This window comes from Homo sapiens, chromosome 7, assembly GCF_000001405.40.
Source record: "Homo sapiens chromosome 7, GRCh38.p14 Primary Assembly".
Taxonomy (NCBI): Eukaryota; Metazoa; Chordata; class Mammalia; order Primates; family Hominidae; genus Homo; species Homo sapiens.
This window is the reverse complement of record NC_000007.14, coordinates 141045939-141055124: the sequence shown is the minus strand read 5'-3', so window position 1 is coordinate 141055124 and position 9186 is coordinate 141045939. Positions and strand designations below refer to the sequence as shown.

General features: G+C 42.2%; 1 long non-coding RNA gene and 1 pseudogene across 1 annotated transcript; both read right to left on the bottom strand.

Moving 5' to 3' along the window:
• Positions 1 to 524: 524 nt before the first annotated feature.
• LOC107986719 (uncharacterized) lies at positions 525 to 2531 on the bottom strand. The gene is made up of 3 exons (XR_001744993.1): positions 2436 to 2531; positions 1954 to 2115; positions 525 to 564 (listed from the first exon to the last, which is right to left on the bottom strand). It is a non-coding gene; the product is annotated as an uncharacterized LOC107986719 (long non-coding RNA).
• On the bottom strand, positions 2716 to 2876 carry RNU4-74P (RNA, U4 small nuclear 74, pseudogene; annotated as a pseudogene).

Here is a 9186-nt window from a genome sequence, read left to right as displayed (position 1 = left end):
TAGATATCCAGTATTTCCAGGGGAGGGGGATTTTCTACATATTACCAGGACTTCATTGTATCCTTTTCCTTTTTTATTTCCCCACATTGACAGCCATGGTTGCTGACCTCATTCATTCATTCTACACTTACTAGATGCAGGTACTCTTCTAGGTTCCTGGGAGACCTCCATGAATAACAAAGATCCCTGCCCTCCTGGAGCGTATATTCTACTATGGGAAACGGGTAAAAAGCAACTTAATAAAAAAAAAAATTTTTTTTTGAGACAGAGTCTCTCTCTGTTGCGCAGACTGGGGTGCAGTGGTGTGATCTCAGCTTACTGCCACCTCCGCCTCCTGGGTTAAAGTGATTCTCCTGCCTCAGCCTCCCAAGTATTTGGGATTATAGGTGCACACCACCATGCCCGGCTAATTTTTATATTTTGAGTAGAGATGGGTTTTACCATGTTGGCCAGGATGGTCTTGAACTCCTTATCTCAGATGATCTGCCTGCCTCAGCCTCTCAAAGAGCTTGGATTACAGGCATGAGCCACCGTGCCTGGCCATATTTTAAAAGATGATAAATGCTGTAGGAAAAAAAAAAGACCATAATGTAGGTGTTATGTAATGAATGTGTTCCACTGAAGTTTGTATGTTGATGCCATAATCTCCAGTGTGACTATATTTGGAGATAGGGTCTTCGGGAGGTAACTAAGGTTAGGGGGGTGGGGCCCTGACCTGATAGAACTGGTGACCTCATAAGAAAAGGAAGAGATCTCTCTCTTTCTTTCTCTCTCCACATGAGCACGGAGAAAGGCCACGTGAGGACACAGTGAGAAGGAGGCCATCTGCAAAGAGATTTAGCAAAGGCCAGGAAGACAGCCCTTGGCAGAAACTAAACCCACCAGCACCTTGATCTGGGACTTCCAGCCTCCAGAACTGTGAGAAAACAAATATCTGTTTTTAAACCACTCAGTTCATGGTGTCCAAATAAAAATCAAAGCACAGCCAAAGGGAAGTCATCATCTCAGACAAAGGGGGATCATCTCAGGAAAGACAGAAAATTGCACAATCCTTGGAGGGTGCGTGACAATTTTGTGGTGGATGGCTTTATTGACTATGCTCTCTCACTCTCTCTCACACACACACACACATGCACACACCCACAAACACACCCTGGCCCACCACAACACAGCCACATTAGCCCAGCCAACCCCAGACTCCAGCTTGGCAGTGGAGGTCATTCCTATCAAGGGGAAACTTGAGTGTGGGGATTTCCATTCTGCCACCACTTCCTGAAGATGCCCGCCTTACTAGGAAGCGCCCCACTCTAGAAGAGAAATTGCTTGTCAACAAAGGCCTGTGCAAGCCTCGGAGGCACAGCCGAGGGCGTTGCATTACAGAATGCTCACACGGCCGCAGCCTGCCACAGCTGACACAGGCGCAAAAAGCAGCTCACTCGTAACAAACCAGAGGTTGGCTGAGTAAGTCATAAGACAGTCATTCAATAGAATGACAAGCAGCTATTAAAATTAACATGTTGGTGTTATATTTAAGAATGTAGTGAAATACTCAAACAGATACTGGTAAGTGCAAAAAGTAAGATATAAAACTATGAGTAAAATCTGATCCAAATGTTGTAAAGAAAAATAAATGACAAGGAAATATACCACAATGTTAGGATTATTTCTGGGTTATTTTCTCTTCAAGGGCTTTTGTATTTTCTAGATTTCTACAGTGAACATGTATTACCATCTGAAAATAATGGCCATATTAAGATAGTAAAGGTACTCACATTCAAAGGCTTATATGTATGATTAATTCTCCATGTAGCCAGCCTTCCCGAAATTCCTACTGAACAAATTCATTCAAAAGCACAAAATCTATAAAGGAGCCATTGACATCCAAAATTAAAAGTACTCTCCTTAGAGATAATTCTGCTTCTAAGTGCTTTGAACTATATATTTTTGCCTTACTCTTTTTGACAGTGAAGAGTCTTTTCAGGAGGAAAAAAATCATGATTTTTTCCAGGGTTCTCTGTTCATTGCTTTCAATTTTCCATCCTTTTATGACATTTATGAGGCAAAGGCCATCTCCTCCCTCATCTGGTCAGTACGTTTCAGTCTGATGGGCACCTGCTGTAAAAAAGCACACGTATGGCACAGGACTTTACGTGACTTTGCCAAGTTTACAAGGCCAGCTATGGAGGGAACTGACAGGGGTGGAGCTCAAATCAGAACCGAGCTGGGGCAGTGGAGAGGGTAAGTCACCACTCCTGAACTAGTGGTGTCACAGAAACAGAATCAAGAAGCAAAATAATGGGACCCCAAACATCCACATGAGGAAAGAGAAAAGGCCAGAGAGGAGGCAGGAATTATGAACAGAAAGCAAGATTCTGGGACCAGTGAAAGGACAGTCTTGTGAAGAAAACCAGCACCCCTTGAACCGCCTCAGATACCTGAAAGTTAGGGCAAGTCAGAAGAAAAGCAATGAGCCAGCTACTCAGGCGGCTGAGGCAGGAAAATCGCTTGAACCGGGAAGACAGAGGCTGCAGTGAGCTGAGATCCCTCCACTGCATTCCAGCCTGGGTGACAGAGGGAGATTCTATCTCAAAAAAAAAAAAAAAACTATGAGCATCCAGCTCCCATTTGTTGGTGACCTGCTTTGTCACAACAGTCCTATGAACTGCTAATATCTTCATTTAATCAGATGAAGAGAGTCACTCAGAGAGTGGTTTGCCCAAGTTTATCCAACTGGTAAACAGTGGGGTGGGGATTTAAAAATCTAGATGTAGTTAACTACAAATCCCACTCTCTGTGCACTACGAATCTGTTTCAATTAGCAATAATTGCGCCTCAAATAAACCTCATTGGCTACCTTACTGCCACTGCACAAAGCTTATGAATCTGTTACAGACTACAGAACCAGGCAACAGTGGAAAGGAAGGTGACTCCTTAGAGTCAGAGATGAAGAAGGCATGGTAAGATTGTGGCTATGATATCCATTATGGTTGACCAACCAACCCCAAGAGGAAATCATCCAACATCACATGCAGTGACTGTTGAAGGATGATGATGATGAGTCTATCTGAAGTCTTTTCTCTGTCTTTGATTTTCTGCAGTTTGAATACGATATGGCTACATGTAGATATTTTTATATTTATACTGTTTGGTGTTCTCTGAGCTTCCTAGATCTATGATTTGATGTTTTGGAAAGTTCTCAGTCATTATGACTTCAAATAATTTTTTTATTCCTTTCTCTCCTCTCCTTCTGGAAGTCCCATTTTGCATATGTTACATCTTTTGTAATTGTCCTACAGTTCTTGGAATATTAAGTGCCAAGTTTTTATTACAAATATTATTATCAAGCCAGGCGCAGTGGCTCATGCCTGTAATCCCAACACTTTGGGAGGCCGAGGTGGGTGGATCACAAGGTCAAGAGATCAAGACCATCCTGGCCAACATGGTGAAACCCCGCCTCTACTAAAATTACAAAAATTAGCCGGGCATGGTGGTGCATGCCTGTAGTCCCAGCTACTTGGGAGGCTGAAGCAAGAGAATCGTTTGAACCCGGGAGGCGGAGGTTGCAGTGAGCTGAGATTGTGCCACTGCACTCCAGCTTGGGCGACAGAGCGAGACTCCATCTCAAAAAATAAATAAATAGATAAATATCATTTTTCTTATAAATATTATTCCAAATAGTGCTATTATGACATCCTTTATCTTTTCATACATCCCTGATTTGTCCTTAAAAAAGTTTCATTATAGAATTGATGGATGAAGACTTCAGATCTGTTCCACAGGGGCTTCTGAAGCCAGGGCTTTCAGTTCTTATGCTAGGACTCCTTATCTTACAGTCTGCTGTTCATTTTAGTGCTGTGCTAAAACTGTAGATGAGAGTACTAGTATCTTTGTCATGCAAGCCTTGGGACCTGTGATGGTTAATATTAAATGTCAACTTGATTGGATTGAAGGATACAAAGTATTATTTCTGGGTGTGTCTGTGAGGGTGTTGCCAGAGGAGATTAACATTTGAGTCTGTGGACCGGGAGAGGCAGATCTACCCTCAAGGTGGGTGGGAACCATCCAATGGGCTGCCAACACAGCTAGAAAAAGCAGGCAGAAGAAGGTGGGATACACTGGCTTTCTGAGTCTCCTGGCTTTCATCTTTCTACTGTGCTGGATGCTTCCTGCCCTCAAACATCACACTCCAGGTTCTTCAGTTTTTGGATTCTTGGACTTACACCAGTGGTCTGCCAAGGGTTCTTGGGCCTTCAGCCACAGACTGAAGGCTGCACTGTCGGCTTCCCTATTTTTGAGGTTTTGGGACTGGGACTGAGACACTACTGGCTTCCTTGCTCCTCAGCTTGCAGATGGCCTATCGTGGGACTTCACCATGTGATCCTGTGTGTCAATTCTCCTTAATAAACTCCCTTTCATATATACATATATCCATTAGCTCCACCCCTCTGGAGAACCCTGACTAATACGAGATCCCCACAAGACACCCATGAATACATGCAGACAATAGCAAAATGGTTTTATTCCTCTTACCAATAAGCCAACTTTTACCCCCACTACACCCCCCTGTCAGCAAGAAGTTAAAGCAATCGTTAGCCTTTTCCCATCTCTGTAGCTCACAACTCAAGAATGAAGTACGGTCAAGCTCAAATTGGGGATGGAAATTGTCTTTACAAAAATTATGGCAGTGAGAGAAATCTGACATACCTAACTCACTCTTGCTTCTAACCTCTCAAACCAACTGTCTTTGCTCTTTCCTGGGCATATGCTAAGCTAACTATGGGAGGAATTAATTTATAGTTTAACCTTAAAGCAAGGATGATAATAGCCCCTCCTTGTTCAAGGATAGAATTGCCTTTGTAAAACTCATGACAGCCCACAAGGTTAGAATTATGGGAGGGGCCTGAATTCTGCTAAGACCCAGGCATAAATGATAACTAGTCATTGTTTACTGCTCAGGAGGCACATGGGGTGAGCACAAAATTTGTAAGTTCTCTAATCACCCCTACAGACAACATTCCTATTGTAAAACCTAAGACTGGGGTTTGAGATATTTTTCAGACTTTGCATTCTAGTAGAATAACATCTCCCAGACTGATGACCCTCACCCAGGAACTGACTTACCACACAAAGGCAGTTTTGACAGCCCTATGATTTCATCCCCAGCCCAACCAATCAGCAGTCTCCATTCCCTAGTGCCCTGTCTATCAAACTATCCCTAAGAAACCCTAGCTTTCAAATTATCTGGGAGACAGATTTGAGAATTAACTCCCATCCTTCCACTTGGCCAGCCCTGTGATTATTAAACTCTTTCTATGAAGCAAAAAAAAATTATGGATGAAATAAATGATATGCAGAATACTAAGGCTGTTTAAAACTGAACTAATAAATTTCATACCAAAAAAAGTGTATAGCAATTTCCATTCCTATAGAAGAGTGTGAGCATTCTTGGTCCTTCACAGCCTCAACTATCCTGAGTAAAATACCTTTTTAATCTACACCAACATGATTACTGGGGGGACGGGGGTTGGAAATCATATAAAGTATTAAACACACCATATGTTTAATACTAAATGCTAAATAGACCTATTTCCCATATTTTCAGAAAGCATGCTAAATATACCTATTTCTCATTTCTTCAGAAAGCATGCAGTTGAACTCATCACAAAAAAAGTGTTTCTGAAAATGTGTCTATGGAGTAGAGAGGATGTCTTAAGTGAAAAAAAAAAGAATCCTCATCAGTTAGTTTAAGCAGAAAAGGGATTTATTAAAAAGTATTAATAGCTCACAGAATCATTTGGAAAGCTGGAGCAACAGTCTCAAGGCTCAGCTTCAGTGCCACAGAACTGGACTTGTGAGTCAACTTTTGCCACCACCAATGACCAAATGCCAGATGAAATTCCTGATTTAGAAGTACTGATGTGGAGTGATTGAGGAAAAGGCGGAATTCAACTCAACTCAGCTTTGGCTCAGAATTGGCATACTTACTGTCTCTTCCATTGGCCCAAGCAAGTGATATGGCCAAGTCTGAAAATGGGGTGGGGTAATATTCTGCCCCTATATGGAGGCATGAGCAGACACCGGTGACAGGCAGATTATATATATATATATATGAGACAGATTTTTCCTCTATCACCCAGGCTGGAGTGCAATAGCACAGTCTCAGCTCACTGCAACCTCCCCTTCCTGGGATCAAGGGATTCTCCTGCCTCAGCCTCCTGAGTAGCTGAGATTACAGGCATGTGCTATCACACCCAGCTAATTTTTGTATTTTTAGTACAGACAGGGTTTTGCCATGTTAGCCAGGCTGGTCTCAAACTCCTGACCTCAAGTGATCCACCCACCTCAGCCTCCCAAAGTACTGAGATTACAGATGTGAGCCACTGTGCCCAGCCAGAATAAAATATTTTACTTGCCTCTTTCCTTGACTTCCTCAAATGTAAAAGTATCTTCAAGTACCATTCTTGCTCTGAAATTCTAGAATTTTAAGTAAAACTTTATACATTAAGTCAAATAGTTAACTCACTAGGGTGAATATTAATAGGAAATATAAAGAAAGCTTGGTTTAAAGTGAAAAATAATTTTACATGCAAATAATCACTCCTCAAATAGACATTTCATAAATCTTACTTCTCAAATACCAGCTTCTCTTAAATTAAAACTCATTTAAATGTCTCTGCTTTTACTGTATCAACAAGTACAAAAAATCTAAAATGTAAAGGTCAATAAACTGTGGACTTTAGGGAAAGATTAAATTTTATTTTAAATTAAACAAGAAGCTAGAACATTTCCAATATTTTCATTTTGCTTTAGTGGCTACCAAATACAGTTAGGCTACAGACTAACTCAAGGAGCATGGATATTAGATATGAAGGCTTTTGAAAGAAAATTCCAGGCTGGGTGTGGTGGCTCATGCTATAATCCCAACACTTTGAGAGGCCAAGACGGATGGGTTGCTTGAGCCCAGGAGTTTGAGGCCAGCCTGAGTAACATGGCGAAACCTTGTCTCTGCCAAAAAAATACAAAAAGTAGCTGGGTGTGGTGGCTCACATCGTAGTCCCAGCTACTCAAGAAGCTGAGATGAAAGAATCACTTGAGCCCGGGAGGCAGAGTTTGCAGTGAGCTGAGATCATGCCACTGCACTCCAGCCTGGGTGACAGAGCAAGACTCTGTCTCAGGAAGGAAGGAAGGAAGGAAGGGAGGGAGGGAGGGAGAGAGGGAGGGAGGGAGGGAATCCTGACTTGATGAAATGACAGGGAAAGGAAATAAATTGCAGTAGGACAAATTAACACAGTAAGGAAATATAATGTCTAGTATTGAGGATTTAGATTGAAGAGTTAGTCTACTCTTTATTCTGAAGTCCACATCATGTAGCAATAAAAAAATTGCTAAAACGTTAATTTTGAGAATCCTGTGCCCCAAGTCTCTGGTGCCTGACCTGAGCATCGAAATCCCACTGCAACATTTTTGTCTTTGACTTGTTGCTATCTCATGTGGATATTGCTGATTTAGGAAATAATGTATGCTACAAGGGTAACTAATAATTAGGGATGCATGAAGATCTCTGAAAGTTCTCAAAAATCACAAAGGTTTATTATATTTTTTAAAGAAGACATAAACAAGTTTTTAAAAGAAAAATACATCTTTATAAATGAGGCACAAGCTACCATGCATAATACAAAGGTCAATAGTCCAATTGTCAGACGCAACATTAGTTAAGACTCTTCTTGTTGCAAGTGACAGAAACTCACCTCAAATTGTTGTAGGCAAAAGGTTTGGGCTTGTTATTGAAAAGTCTCGGGGATTGTATTAATCTGTTCTCACACTGCTATAAAGAACTACCTGAGACTGGGTAATTTATAAAGAAAAGAGGCTTAATTGACTCACAGTTCCACAGGCTGTACAGGAAGCATGGCTTGGGAGGCCTCAGGAAACTTACGATCATGGCAGAAGGTGAAGGGGAAGCAAGCACGTCTTATCATGGTGGAGCAAGAGAGAGAGAGAGTGCAAAGAGGAGATGCTACACACTTTTAAGCCATCAAATCTCATGAGAACTCACTCACTATCATGAGAACAGCAAGGAAGAAATTCACCCCCGTGATCTAATCACCTCCCACCAGGTCCCTACCCCAACAATGGGGATTACAATTCAACATGACATTTGAGTGGGGACACAGAGCCAAACCACATCAATGATTTTCAGGCCTGACTTGATCCAGGAGCCCAAATGATGTCGTTAGGACTCAGTTTCTTTCCAACTATCATTCAGTCGGCAGCTTCCTCGGCTCTCATCCTCCCAGGTTGTATTCCAGCAAAGAAGAATCTCAGTGTCTCAGGTGTAAGTCCCTGGATTCATATTGATTGGATCAGTTTGGGTCACTGGCCTGCTCCTGATTAATCTGGCCTTGGTCACATGTGCTGCCTCTGGAGAAAGAAGGGAGCCCCCACCCAATCCACAATCCACAGGAATGGAGTCCTGGAGAAATGGTTTTCCAAAGGAAATTCAGGGTGCCCTAATCCAGAAAAAAAAGCAAATGTGTAATAGGTGATCAAAACAGTAAATGTTGCCTATGGATGCTGATATGGTTTTGCTGTGTCCCTGCCCAAATCTCATCTTGAATTGTAACTCCGACAATTCCCACATGTCCTAGGAGCAACCCGGTGGGAGGTGATTGAATTATGGAGGCGGGTCTTTCCTCTGCTGTTCTTGTGATACTGAATGGGTCTCACGAGATCTGATGGTTTTAAAAATGGGTGTTTCTCTGCACAAGCTCTCTTTGCCTGCTGCCATCCACGTAAGATGTGACTTGCTCCTCCTTGCCTTCAGCCATGATTGTGAGGCCTCCCCAGCCACATGGAACTGTAACTCCAATAAACCTCTTTCTTTTGTAAATTGCCCAGTCTCAGATATGTCTTTATCAGCAGTGTGAAAACAGACTAATACAGTTGCTTAAGATAAAATCGAAGGAATCTGTGGCTTCAATAGATGAACGCCAGATCCTAAGCAAGTGTAGGTGCAGTGTCAAACTCTCCCTGTTTGGAAAGCAAGGGAAAGTCCCAGGACTCTGGCCAACACAAGTGTTCCAGCAACTGTGGTGAAGCATAGCTGCTCCATGACTCCCCAAGAAAAACATCCTAAAACTTCTGTAGTATCTGTTGCCTATCTGCCTTTGGAAGTTTAACCATTAA